At 35.0% G+C, this 15254-nt stretch overlaps 1 protein-coding gene across 12 annotated transcripts in view, besides 1 other annotated feature; it reads right to left on the reverse strand.

Annotated features, from left to right (window-relative positions):
* The window catches only part of SPOCK3 (SPARC (osteonectin), cwcv and kazal like domains proteoglycan 3), a 501562-nt gene that overhangs the window by 198451 nt on the left and 287857 nt on the right, over positions 1-15254 (reverse strand). The window lies entirely within an intron of this gene.
* Positions 9961-10010: a silencer, noted in NCBI's record as "silent region_15787". NCBI's record gives its function as "represses an Ori minimal core promoter by ATAC-STARR-seq in GM12878 lymphoblastoid cells {active_cell/tissue: GM12878}" and the evidence as "EXISTENCE:reporter gene assay evidence [ECO:0000049][PMID:35858748]".

The raw sequence follows: 15254 nt of genomic DNA on the forward strand, positions 1-15254 counted from the left end.
GGCATTAGGCAGAAAATTGTTGGGGAAATGGATGTGCCCTCTCCATTACTATTGGACCTTCCCTATTACTCTTGGTATTTTAGGTCTTTTATTCTCTTCCTTTCGTGACACTTCTCCTGTGTCCTACTTTCTACACATTTAAAGTCCATGAATATAGAAATACAGAGGAAGAAAATAAGAATTGTGATGTTTTCTAAGTATTGACAGAAACACAAATTTCAGTTATTACCATTATTGCTTTCAGAATAATGCATTTGACATGCATATTTTAAGAATACATCCCTGAACCATAGTAATAAGCCTGAAAGTATGTTAACTCATTGCATTATTTAACTTAACAATGTTCAGTAAGACCACAGTTAATGTATAAAAGAGACAGCCAAAAATGTCCCATGAGTTATTAATCAGTATTATTTTATTCTGGAAATAATGGGAAAGTATCATATCTGTTTTATCAAGAAAATTCCTAAAGTGTGTACTCTTGGATATAAATCTTCAGTCATATTACCAAAAGCCTTTTTCCTACACAAGTGGTCAGATATCCTTCACATAATATCATGCTTTTCCCTCAAATACAGACCAAGTATTTATCCTGGTAACATTAAAGCTATAAACAACAATATGATAATTAAGCCAATATAGATAATTTATCTTTGATATGAACCTTGTTATTAAACAAACTTTCTTTAAGAAAATCCAGCCACAAGTGAATTCCTTGGAAGTTGTATTATGTTTTATAATAAAATGTAATGTTGGGAGATTTTTGTTGCTAAAAATGCCAATTTGGTGAATGTCAACTGATTTGTTTCTCACTGAAACAAAATCTAGGAGAAAAAAATTTAAATTAATTGTTTAATTCAACCTCATGAGAATGTAGTCTCTTTGATCTATGGATGGATGCACAGGTAAGTAGATAGATAAATAGAGGTTAAAAAAATTCACTTGCTTAATTTATTCACTCTGCTTCTTTATCTGTGGATATTACAAAGTAAAGTGCTTTTCTGGCAAACTAAATTGATTTTAAGAACTATCTAATTGATAGGGGAAAGATTTATTGTGTGTCTAGTATCCCTCTGATTTTCATGTAACAGGTTGATTGTTGATATAATAATCAATGTAAGTAGCAATTTATACTTGTAATAAGAATCCTAGTAAGTATAAAAGCAGTGACAAATCCATGCATTAATAAATTTGCTCAGAAGGTATTTTGGGGGAATTTTTTTAATGTGATTGCCAAATTTACTCAAACTTCAAACATAAATAAATTTCATTAATACAATATTAAAATGATGATACTACAAATAACATTAAAGGAGCTCTCTGAATCCCTTTTGACTCTCTGTATGCCAAAATTAGAAGAGCTTTTTCAAATGATAATCTAATTTTGCCACTCTCTTGCTAAAAAATGATAAAATGAAATAACCAAATAACCAAAAAACTATAATTAAACTTTTAACGGCTTCCTTTTGATATTTACATAAACAAAGAAGGCCTTCACCTTACTTGGGAGCTATGGCATTGCCTGACTTCCCCACCTCTCCCCTCACTCTGCTTTTCTGGCTCTGGATGCCCAGCCATAATCTCAGCTCAAGTGCTGGTTCCACAGGGAATCCCTCCCTGAATGGTTAAATTCCTTTCAGAAAGTTATGTTTTTCCCTCACCTCTCTCTCACAGGAAATCTCAATTCTCTTTCCAAATAGGAAATTTATCATTATTATTATTATTTAACATGTATTATTAATGTTAGGAGACAATTCATGTGAATCTTCCATGTCTGCTCATCTTATAGCAAGGCACCAACTGCTCTGCTAGAAAATCTTTTCGAGGAAGAGTAAATTTGCAAAGAGACTTAGAACATAGAGATAAGGCTTTCCTCTGAGAGAAAGGGCATAATTTTTCACTGTCCTTTATAATAAATATAATGTTTCCCTCTAGAGTAAAACAGAGGGAGGCTTACTACCATTATAAAATTCTTGGTTATCTAAGTTCAGGATCTTTCTCCTGCAATGAAATCCATGGTGTGTGCAGGTATCTGGCTGGGTCCAGCCATGTTGCCCCATGGGACTAGGAACAAGAGGAGTGAATAAATATGCTGATGTTCCATGTTGCCTTCTGTTTCACAGGTAATCAGGTCCTCTATCTGTGACCCAGGAGTGTTTTACAAGCATCCATAGAATGAAAACAGGCAGATTTGTTAGATTACAGGTAGGGTAAAATCTCAAACTCTTCATAATTCTTAATAATGCATGAAAAGAGGAGGAAAAATATGAGCCATATAACAAAATACAAAGAAAACAATGGAGAAAAATGAGTTCAAAATAGTAGGGAATAGCAAGAAATTATGAAACCACATACATAAGAAAATAAAAGTCACGGCCGGGCGCAGTGGCTCACACCTGTAATCCCAGCACTTTGGGAGGCCGAGACTGGTGGATCACCAGGTCAGGAGATGGAACCATCCTGGCTAACACGGTGAAACCCCCTCTTTACTAAAAATACAAAAAAAAAAAAAAATTCGTCAGGTGTGGTGGGGGGCACCTGTAGTCCAAGCTACTCGGGAGGCTGAGGCAGCAGAATGGCGAGAACCCGGGAGGAGGAGCTTGCAGTGAGCCGAGATCGCGCCACTGCGCTTCAGCCTGGGCGACAGAGCGAGACTCCGTCTCAAAAAAAAAATGAAAGAAAAGAAAAGTCACACTTAATATCACCACCCAAAGATACCCCGTGCCAGTTGTTTGGTACATATATGTATTTAGAAATGATCTATATATGTGTTTACTTATAATAATCTATGTGATCTCTATATATGTTTATTTATAATAATAATTTATGATTATTAAAACAATGTTGTGATAAACACTCCTTTTCCATACGTCTATGAGATCTGGTCTGATTATTTCTAGCACATACATTTCTAGAAGCAAATTTTCAAATCAAAGATGAAATGCTTCCTGCTCCATTTCACTGCCTTCCAGAAAGGCAGTTTAAATGGTAATAAGTACTTTGAAGACAAACAAAGAAGCAAAAGTGGTTGTGTTGCACTTTTATATAGAAAGCTAAAAGCTGAAATGTTAACATTTGAGAAAAGAAAAAAAAAACTGAAGGAGGTGAAGGAAGAATCTATGAAAATTCCAATTAGAGGAAACTGTGAGTAAAGTCACTCTGAGAAGCAAAAAAGTCGGCTTGACCTGTTAGAGGGATAGCAAGTGGGCAGCATAACCTCAGATAAGCAAGGAGTATAAATAGTAGAAGAAAAGGTCAGAAATGTAATGGAAGCTCAGACTTACGGGGCTGTGGAGGGAGTCAATCCACCATGGGGCTTGGCCACCTGTACTTTCCCTTGGGGTATGCCAAGAACAGGCCCTGACTGTTCCTTATCCCAACTGTTTCCTGGGGTTGAATTTCCATCCAACAACCATGAGTTTGAGATAATATCTCCCTCAGCAAAGGGCAGGCTTGCTCCCACTTACAATAAAAGTGGCAAAACTCCAAGCTCGATGTTCTTCTCAATTGCAGTCCAACGGGCGAAATGGTAGCCATTTCAGCATGAGTACTGTGCCCATGGAACTTTGGGACATGGGGAACCAACACAAACATGAAGCTCTGGTTACAGCTTTTGCTTTAATAAAGTTCTAGTTTAACAAAGCCAGGAATCTCATGCTTTCTGCCAGTGTTCATGAAACAATAACAGGCTAACTTTTAGCTTGCAAGTAGGGTAAAATTTCAAAACTTCCACAGCTCTTGACAAAGTCATGTTAACCACTGTAAATGTAAAAACCATTTTGGTTTTTACCCTGAGTGATAAGAAGAATCGTTATAGAGTTTGAGCATAAGGGTTAATATGAGGAGTTTTAAAGGATCACTCTCAGCTGTGTAGACTGAAACAAAAGTACAATAAAACAAGGATGACACAAAAAGCCACATAGTTAGGAAGTAATTCCATTAACACAGGCAAGACATGACGGTGGTCTAAACAAAAGTGATAGCAGTGGAGGTGATGAGAAGTGGCTGCATTCTAATATATTTTGAAGATAGAGATAACAACATTTGCCTAAAGGTTAGATGTGGTATATAATAAAAAATGATCATGATGAATTACTAAAAGGATTGAGCTAGAATTAATTGAATTTGTATGAGAAGGTCAGGTTTGGAAAGTTCAGATTTTTCCTTCCATTTTTGGTTTCATAAGACATTTAATCATGAATTAGTATTGAGGGGTATTGAAATTTAATAAATATCTGCATCTAATGAGAAGATTATAAGTTTTATTTCTTTTATTGTATTAATTACATTGACTAGTTTTTGGATTTCAAACCAAACTGGCTTATTTTCTTAGAATACGCAATACTGAGCTGTGATGCATTATCATTTTACATAGGCTTGACTATGCTAATTTTAAAAAAGAATTTACATATGTATTCATAAGCAATATTAACATATACTTTTTAAAAAGTTCTTGTCTGATTTTAATTTAATTAATCACAATTAATTTTTAAAAGTTAAAATCCTATTAATTAGAAGTATGTATACAATATTTGTTTTTCATCATTAAATATTTAAAATAATTAATGAGGAAAACACTTATGTCTAGAGATTTCTGTTTTGAATGAGATAAGATAAATTTTTCTAGAAGTTTGTACATTTAACCAAAAGTACCAAATCTATTACAGCAAAGTGGTTGGTAATTAGCCCTTAGGATTTTTTTAATGTCTGTAGGATCTCTAGTTATCCAGTGGCACAGCTTTTCCCATATTTGATAGGAGATTTGTCTATTTTTCTTTACAGGGATAAATCTTTTTTATTAGTAATTCCCCCTAAAACCAGCTTTAGGTGAGCTGAATTTCTCTACTACGTATTTGATTTCTATTTGATTAATGATTTATCTTACATTTCTTATTTCCTTATTTCTACTTTTAGTTTTAATGACTGATTCTTATTCTACTGTCTTGAGTTAAATACTTAAAATGATAATTCTCAACTTTCTAAAAATTTTCTAACATACCAAATTTAAGGTTATATGATTCTCACTAACACGAATTTATCTATATTCCAAATGTCTTCATATTTTCATGTTTGATAATCTTATTTTCATTCAGTTTGAAATATTTTCTAACCTTAATTGTAACTTTTTCTTTGATAATGGGTTATTTACAAGAATATTCCTTGATATTCACACATTGAGAACTTATTTATTTATTTTTTAATTGATTGATTTTAGCTGAATTTCACTATGTGTAAGAACATAGTGTGAATAAATAGTTGAGATTTGCTTTACAACCCAAGTATTTGTCCTGGTCACAACAAAAGGTAGATTTTTGGTAGATACCAAAAATAAGCACTTGAGAGGCACAAGTGTTTAATGCAGCAGAAACCATAACTTCAATAAGCATCAAGTCGTGACTAGAAAATAAATGTAATACATTTCTGGAAATTTTAAAAATCAGGAAAGTAATTTTTCCCAGGATTACCATGGAGAATCTTAGAAAATGTAGCATTTGATCAAGGCTATGAATGATGTGTAAGGTGTATATATACATATACATATATATACACACACACGTATATATTATATGTTATATATAATTATAATTTATGATTATTAAAACAATGTTGTGATAAACACTCCTTTTCCATACATCTATGAGTTCTTGTCTGATTATTTCTAGCACATACATTTCTAGAAGCATATATTTATATGTTATATAATATATATTATATATTACTATATATATGGTATTTCCAGTGAAAACCATTTTCAGTAATTGTAGTTGTTCCAGTTGAGCTAAAAGAGAAATTTCTTCAAGCCAAAAAGTTGTAAGAAATACAGCTGGAGAGATAATTGGAGTTTTGATTATTAGGTAAAGATGTTTCAAGCTTATCCCTAAAGTAATGTGAGATTATATATATTTTTTCTTTTTTCTATTTTTTTTTCTTTTTTTTTTTTGAGACGGAGTGTCACTCTGTCGCCCAGGCTAGAGTTAGAGTGCAGTGGGGCGATCTCGGCTCACTGAAAGCTCCGCCTCCCGGGTTCACGCCATTCTCCTGCCTCAGCCTCCCGAGTAGCTGGGACTACAGGCACCCGCCACCACGCCCGGCTAATCTCTTTTTTTTTTTTTTTTAATATTTTTACTAGAGACAGGGTTTCACCGTGTTAGCCAGAAAGCTCTCAATCTCCTGACCACCTCGGCCTATCCACCCTATCTGCCCGCCTCAGCCTCCCAAAGTGCTGGGATTACAGTCATGAGCCACCGTGCCCAGCCATGAGTTTGTATTTTTAAGCAGAACTTTTTTAACAGATGACTAGAAGTGATTTTGAAAAATTAATGCAGTGTCATCTGAAGAATGACAGAGGGAATCCTCTCAAGTAGTTAAAGGATTGCTAAGCTATAAATTAATACAAATACAAAAGTGGAAGGCAGAGAAAAACTATGGAAGGAGCAGGTGTAAAAACCGCTTGGGAAGAGAAATTGATGTAATTTTGCCATTGATTATGTGCAAGAATGAGTTTCCTCTGAAGTTTTGATTTGGGAAATGTAAAATTATATTTCTAGAAAATGAATATGAATACAGGAAGTATACATTCATAATTACTTGAGTTAAAGACATTTTGAATTTCAGATGCTGGTGATCAATCTGGTAAAAAAAATGTTTAGTAGGTAATTGCAAACTTATAACAAACTCAGAAAAGCACATAAGTACAAAGTTTTAGAATTCATGATAAAAATGTGAAGCCATTATTTTAATTTATAGATACAAATGAAATCTCTAAGAAAAAGAATGGGGGAGAAAAGAATAAAAATATTATTTCATGCACACACAGGAGACAGGAAAAAAAGAGAAGGAAATGAAGAGAATAGAAAAAACATAATCAACATTTAGTCAGTAAATAAATACAACATAACATACTACCAGTCACACTCTAGTTAAATAAAAGAATAATCATACTATACATATATAGTAATCATATAGTGTGATACCACAGATGTTAAAGAAGAAAAGAGTTCCAAAAAAGAGGTGCTAATGTGCAAAGACAAATATATCAGTGGTTATGAATAAGAACACCAACCTTTTTTGAGAATCTACTGTTTGTCTGATTAGATATATAAAGACACACATACACACACCACACACACACACACACACACACACAGATTCTCTTTAAATCCTATGAAATGTATGAAACATGTTTATATGTTTGTACGTATTATAATCCATGTTTACAAAGTAAAGATAGAGGCTCTATACAGTTAAATGGCATGCTTGCCCTACTAGAAGCTAGTATTTGGTAGAACATAGATTCTTTCTTTTTCCAAAGTGACCCTCAGAAAGAAAGGATGGATTTTAGTAATGTAATATAATTAAAAACTAGGTGATGGAATTGATGGGAATGAAAATAGATTGCAAAAACTTACTTGGAGAATGCAGTTAAGAGTTAATATCATACCCATAACTTGGATTCATTCTTTTTTTTCATTTATTCTTTCCATACATATTTACTTATTATTTATTCTGCAAAATAAGCTATACAAGATGATGGGGATAAAAGAGTTCAGCATAAATAAAATAATAAGAACAAAGCAATAAAAACAGATATCATAAGAACTTTCTTCTTATGAAGATAACAGTAGGGTGGGAAGAATTGTGAATTTTAAAGAAGACCAAATAGATGTAAAATTGTGACTACCAAAGTACAAGGAAGGAAATCCATAGTTCTATGCAGGAAATGATACCTGAGTTGGGATCTGCAGGAAGAGAAGTTATTTGGCAAATAAAATGTGTCTATGTTTGTTACTGGGCTGGGAGGAAGAGGCTGTAGCACATATAATACATAGTAGGAGCTCATTAACTGCTAACTGGTTTCTAAATTGATCTTATCTAGTCACCTCGGTCTTGCTAAAATAGTTCGAAACCAGAGTCTTGATCATAACACTGTAAATAATAAATCACATTATCTTTTTGTTTAATAGAGGAAAAGCTGTTCCAACAAATATATTTCCAACAAAATTGGTAAACATAATTGAATTTATTTATCTTGTTTAAGGCCATTGGTACTAGAAATATAAAATTAAGAGAAACTAGAAACACATAAGGCAAAAATTCTTTAGTTGAGTTACTTTTTTCCAGGTTTTATTTGGCAATAAACAGATAACTTGATTTAATGATTCAAAAAAATAACATTTTCTGCATTACTAAAGGAAAGATATTTAAAATGGGATTAATAAAATACATGGGGAAAATGGACATGAACATGCAATGACCAAGTGTATAAGTCACGCATGGTGAGCAGTCAGACTGGTCAATGACATCTTTTCTACTATTGCTAAAACAATCTAGGAATGATTTTCAAGAGAGAAGAAATATTTGTTCTGGTGATTCAGTTATCCTTCTGACTATGATGATATAATAATATCTAGAAATTACCTTTTGAGTATGAGCCTAGATTACAACATCCTCTCTTCTCTCAAAACTACAAGGTGATTTGGCCTGAGTTTCAGCCACTACAGCCTCCCTACCGAAGTCCGCGACAGAGAAACTGACCATTCTATACAAACAGATGTGGATGCTGCATCTGAGGCAGGATAGGGAGTCAAGGAAGTGACCATGTTCTTGGGAGGCAGCAACCATGGTGACCGTACAATCAACACAATAGGCCTCAGCATTTGCACTGTAATTCAGTTCATTCAAGCAAAGCTATCTTCGGTAGAGACTTTCTCTTCTAGACAGCATGTGCATTTTGATTTTACCTGTCCTCAAACTGACCCTTTGCTCATTGTAATAATAAAAAACCCCTAGGAAGAGATTTAAGATGCTAATGAGATATGTGAAATATGAACAAGCTTGTACAGCTACTGTGTATGTGCACCCAGAACCTAAGACAGCAAAGATCAGCACTTGGGAGACTTCCTTTACAGGAGTCTTACATTCTTCATAAGGAGGTGGGAAGAGGAGTTATTAGCAAGTAAGCACTAGTTGCTACTACTAGTAAGCAACTAGTGCTTACTGGTAACTCCTCTTCCCACCTCCTTATGAAGAACGTAAGACCCTGTTAAGGAAGTTTCCCGAGTGCTGATCTTTGCTGTCTCATCCTTATGAGCAGCCCATCCTGAATTCCCTCCCTTTCAGGATGAACTGTCTATTCTGCACCTAATTTTCCAAATATTATTTTTCTTTTGCAGTAAATTACTCTATGCTGCACTTCTTTTGCTGTGCATCTCTTGTTTAAATTCTTTTAAAGCAAGAAGTCAAGAACCAAGGTGTCACATTAGCCATCAGCACAGTCACGTTTGGTCACAGTTAAAACAGATTCAGGAGGGCTGTCAGCCAGAAGCTAGGCCAATCAATTTATGCCTCCCAAGAATGTAGAAAAAAGCTGGTCAATTTCTATGGGAATTTAAAACCATAAGAAAGTAAACTTAGAATCTGTGGACAAGAGAAACAGAAAAAAATGGATCCTTTTCCGTCATGATTTTGTCCTTGGGATTAGCAAAAGTGAATTTAAGAAAGACATCTTGGTTATTAACTCCGGGATGAAACACAGAACCATTAGAAGAGAGTTTATCTCATATGTCTTGTAACTGTTTCCTTTTTTATCAATTGCAGTATTATTCCTTCCAGCTACAGTCTGAAAGCTAAAATATCTACCAAGAGGGGATTTTGTGTTTTTTTGTAATACAGTGTTGTCCTTTTAACATTTTAATATCTGTGGGTAGTTGGCCTCTAAGATGGTCCTCAGTGATCCTTGCCTCTGGTTCACACCTTTGTGTGATCCTTCCCCTTGAGTGTGAGCTAAACTCACTGACTTCCTTCTAATATACAGAAGACAATCGTGTTGAAATGTCTGTGATTAGGTTACAAGAAGACTGTGGTTGCCCTCAGTGGGTTCTCACTTTCTCTTGCTCTCTCTTGAATTACTCGCACTGAGGAGCAAGCTGCCACGGTGTGAGTAGTCCTGTAGTGAGTTCCCGGGGCATAGTAAGAACCGAGCCTTTAGGGAACCGTGTGATGAGCCTGGATGTGAATCATTCAGCCCCAGGCAGTCTTGAAATGACTCCAGCCTAGCCAAAGCTTGAAGACAACTTCATGAGAGACCTTAAGCCAAAGGCACCCAGCTAAGCTGCACTCAGACATCTGACTCATAGAAACTGAGATGAGTATTTGCTGTTTTAAGCCACTAAGTTTTCCAGTAATTTGTTATACAGAAATAAAAAAAACTGTTATAATGCCATTTGATATTTTAATACATAACTTTATAAACACTTAAATGTTACTGTATCTCCCTTAGACTTTCTAACAAAATATAACTAGACATTAAAATGTGGTTAATAAATGCACTATTTGAGTATAGGTCACTCGGTGTTTCCATTTCCATTTCTTGATTTTTTAATTTTTTTTATTTTTTAGATGGAGTCTTGCTCTGTCACTAGGCTGGAGTGCAGTAGCACAATATTGGCTCACTGAAACCTCTGCCTCCTGGGTTCAAGTGATTTTCCAGCCTCAGCCTCCCAAGTAGCTGGGACTACAGGAGCGCAACACCATACCCAGCTAATTTTTGTATTTTTAGTAGAGACGGGGTTTCATCGTGATGGCCAGGATGGTCTCGATCTCCTGACCTTGTGATCTACCTGCCTTGGCCTCCACTTAAAAAAAAAAAAAAACAAAAGTTAAAAAAAAAACACAAAAGTTAAAGCAAAGGCGACATGAACTCTGGAAATACTGAGAAATCCTTTCCCTCAAAACAACCTCCAATTTTCATAGAACACTATATATATTTCAATAAATGGATACTATTCTCTTGAGGTGAAATGCAAAGAAGAATGTAAATAAGCCAAAAACTCAAAAGCAATGGGGTAGAAAAGATTAGACTAAGAATACCCTATAGAATTTGGCATAACACTTAGAAAGTATCACAGGTGTTGATATTTGCATGATACATTCAAGAAGAATTTATAACAACTTAGCAGCTGTACTGTAAATAGTGTCTTATAAAAAGTCTATTAAGCAATAATTACTATTCAATATTCATGGCTTAATGAAAGTGACTTGTTGCAATTTTAAGTCATTTTAGAATCATCATTATGTAAAACTTTGACATGTGGAAGCTGTTTATATTAGTTAGTTTGGGAGAAAATGTGTGCATATATTCTGTCTTTTTTTCTTCCATACCAGGAAAGAAGAAAACATTGCATTCCATGTAAATAGTTTTTGTGTCATTTTAACAAAATGTTCAATAATTTCTATTTGGTTTTCTTGACAGCTTGCTCTTCAAGGGCATTACATTAACATGTGCAAGAACACACCAATTAAAAAACATTTTATAGCACACTTCAAATTCTAGTGCTGAGAATTTTTAAAAATGATAAAGTGATAATTGCTTCTGTAAAGTTTCTAAACAAATTCCAAGGTGTTTGGAGTACAGATATCTGTTTAATGTCCACCTATAGGAAAACATTGATTTCCGGCCACTCATAGCTACTGGTCATAGGCATTTCTTTGGGAGTCCCCAGGCAGTGAGAAAACACATTGAGCCATGCATATCTTCTGCAGGCATAAAGTAAGTTAAAAAGAGATATAATACTTAATATAAAAAAGAGACATAATAGTAAAAAGTCAGAATGTTTTGGAACTTAATCACATTATTTAGTGAAAGTTTACATTAAAATTTGACAAAAAGAAGACACATCATGAAAACACAGAAATGTCAGGCTAAAAACCTCAAGTAGTTGTTCAATTTTTTACAGTTCAGTGAAAATATAATGAATTGGAGGGGAAAAATGTTTAAGGAAAACTGAAAAGTACATAATGTATTTCTATTTTGCTTACATGAGATATCATTTTGAAATGTTTCAGGGTATTACTTCAAAGTATATTCTTATTTATTGTGGCTTGCTATGACAAGTACTAAAGTGGTCGTATGCTTTTCATGTAAACTCCACTTCCTTTAGTTAGATGTAACTCTTCCACATGTATACATACTTTAAAACATTATATGATACATGATAAATATATGAAATTTTATGTTAATTAAAAAAATAGGCCACGCACAGTGGCTCCTGCCTGTAATCCCAGCACTTTGGGAGGCCAAGGTGGGCAGATCACTTGAGGTCAGGAGTTCAAGACAAGCGTGGCCAACAATGGCAAAACCCCATCTCTGCTAATAATACAAAAATTAGCCGAGCATAGTGGCCCATGCCTGTAGTCCCAGCTACTCAGGAGGCTGAGGCAGGAGAATCACTTGAACCCGGGAGGCGAAGGTTACAGTGAGACGGGTTTGCGCCACTTCACTCCAGCCTGGGTGACAGAGCAAGACTGTCTCAAAAAAAATTTTTTTTGAAAAAATTAAAAAATGTTAAGAATTACAAAAAACATTCTTCAAAACAGAGAAGTGTCTCTTTTTTTTTAACCTCAAAGGGAGGGGATTGTATAGATATATGAGTATCCGTTGCTGACATGATATTCTATCATTCCCCCAATATGTCTGTATTTCTTACAACGACATATCTCCTCCATAACAACAATGCAACCATATGAATGAGGACATAAGATTGATACATCACTCCCATCTAACCCTCATTTGAGTTCTGCTCATTGTCCCGATAATGTCCTTTTTAGTAAATGAATGTAATTTAGAATCATACTTTTTGTATATAGTTGACACTTTTTTTAATGACCCCTTTAGCCTGAAACAGTTACAGTTCTTCAGTGTTCTTTTTTTCTTGAGGGAGGGGTGGATTTCATAACTTTTATTCCTTTAAACATTATAGATCAATTACATTGTAGAATGTTTCTCAGTTTGGGTTTATCTGATGTTCCTTAAAGATTAGATTGAGGTTCTGCAACTTTGGCAGGAGTATCACAGAAATTACATATTATTTTTGTCACATCTTCTTATGTGGCTCATAATTTATTTTTTCCTTTCAGAGTGACAGTAACTTCTATCACTAGATTATGGTGGTATCTTCCAGTATTCTTCACTCTAAAGTTATTCATTTCCCTCTGTGGTTCAAAAGTATTTGTGGTGGAAGTACTTTAAGACTATGTAAATATCCCATTTCTCATCAAATTTTCATTTTATTCACTCATTTATTTATATTACTGATATGATTTCCAATTGTATTCAGTGGGTTATAATTTGATACCATCATTATTATGGTGCTTGAATTCTTCCACATGTCTTGTTGCAGACCCTTCACGCTGACTTCTGTGTTCTTTTGATATACCACTATCAATCTTTGAGCACTTCTTTGCTTTCTGGAACAATAAGATGTTATTGGCTCATGTTGTTAACTTTGTTTCAGTTTAGATTCAACCATTACTGCAAGAAGCCTTGGCCTTTTTTGGTGGAGGATGATATTTAGAAACCAAGACCTATGAACCAGGTATACTCATTACAATTAGGATGTAATGACTCCCTGGCACCCTCAGTAAATAGATATAGGAAATACATTCATTTATGTACATCCATATATACATATAAATACCTATATTTGCATCTATATTCATTTTTATAACTATAGGTTTTCAAAATTATAAATCATGATGATTCTAATATAACACTTCAAGATTTATTATGACTTCCTCCCTTTCATATTTGTAACTCTGTTCTAAAACAAGAAACCAGGCTCGGATTTTCTTTCATATGTTATCTGTTAGACAGATTCCCTTGACGTAATCAGTTTCCCATATAGATTCTGCCTACAGCTTCACACTGATTTCCTTCTTGTTCCTGCCACCCATCAACATATAGCCATCACCACTTATTTTCTCACCCTCTCCTAATCAATCTGTGTCCTGTGCAGGTACCCTCCTCACTCCAATTGACCACTAATATCTCATGCTTAGATGGCATCCCTAGTTGGGCTCTGATCCTCTGCACAAGACCATCACTCAATGGGCATAGTTGACATCTCATAGTAGGAGTTCCTGGGTAAACACATCCTGCTTCTACTGTTCAGGCTCCAAAACCTCCCACAGGATCACACAGGTGTAGTTTTCCCTCCTTACCCTACATGGGAATTGATACTTCGTTCCGAGCCTTCACACCTTCTCCACCTGAGGTGAAAACCTCCCATACTCTGCTCCACTTAAAGCCTTCAGGGATTAATTGTTCAGAAGTAGTAAAAGAGGAAGAACCTCCTATTCTCTCTTAAACCCATTTCAATGAGGTGTCTGCCCTAACCACTCTGCAAAACTTCTTGCATTTTGTAAAAATATATATTTATTATTTATTGGTTAGGACCATGAATAACTACGATAACCATAGGCCCTGTTTATCTGGGACATTCTTAATTCATTTGGTTATCTCTGTTTTGCTCATAAAAATGTCCCAGTTTGGAGAGTAATAACTTACTCTCCAAACCCCCACATCTTACAATATGTTCTTGATACAGTTGCCAGAGTAATTGTCTCAAAACATAACTCAGGCCATATACTCCTTTGTTTAAGACCCTGCAATGGCTCCCCTTTCCTTTCAGAGTAAAAGCCAACGGCCTTACAAAAGTATACAATGTCTTACATAATCAGACTCTTATTTTTCAGAGCACATCTAATTCATACCCCAGGCTCAGTCTGCTCCCAGGCTCAGCCTGCTCCTGCGCGTTGGCCTTCTTGCTGTTCCATGAGCATGCTAGCATATTCCTGCTAACCTGTGCCGCCAAGTCCTTTGCTCTAGCTTTTCTTTCTGCCCAAAATACTCTTTCCCAGACAGCCAATCGATTAGCTTCTTCAGTACTTCAAATCTTGGCTTAACTATCACCTTCACAATGAAGCTTTCCCTGACCATCATCCTCGTCAGCACTGCATTCTGGCCCTGCCCTGTCTCTTTGGCATGTCGGATCCCTCTTCCCCTACTCTACATTTTGTATAGCACTTGGTCCTTTAAAAAATATCCTAGTTACTTTGTGAATACTTGTTAGTGCTTTTAGTTTTTCTCTTTACACTATAATGTAAGTACAGCATGGGCAGGAATGGTGTCTAGTTCCGTTTTCTCACAGATAGCACCTATAACAGTATCTGGCACATCGTAGATGAACAATACCATAATTGTCGAATGGATAAATGAAGGTGTTCAGTACAAAACAATCAACATCACCAATGAAAAACCCTAAAATATTTTGATTTAAGATGGACAATAATTTTGTCAATTTGTCATCTCTAAGTTAACTATACCAGGTTTACTTAAAATGTATCCTAAAATACCACTGAGCATTTTACCTGATACCCTCCCATAACGACCAAATTTTAGGCACTATTTTTTTTTA

The sequence above is a fragment of the Homo sapiens genome, chromosome 4 (assembly GCF_000001405.40).
Source record: "Homo sapiens chromosome 4, GRCh38.p14 Primary Assembly".
Classification (NCBI taxonomy): domain Eukaryota; kingdom Metazoa; phylum Chordata; class Mammalia; order Primates; family Hominidae; genus Homo; species Homo sapiens.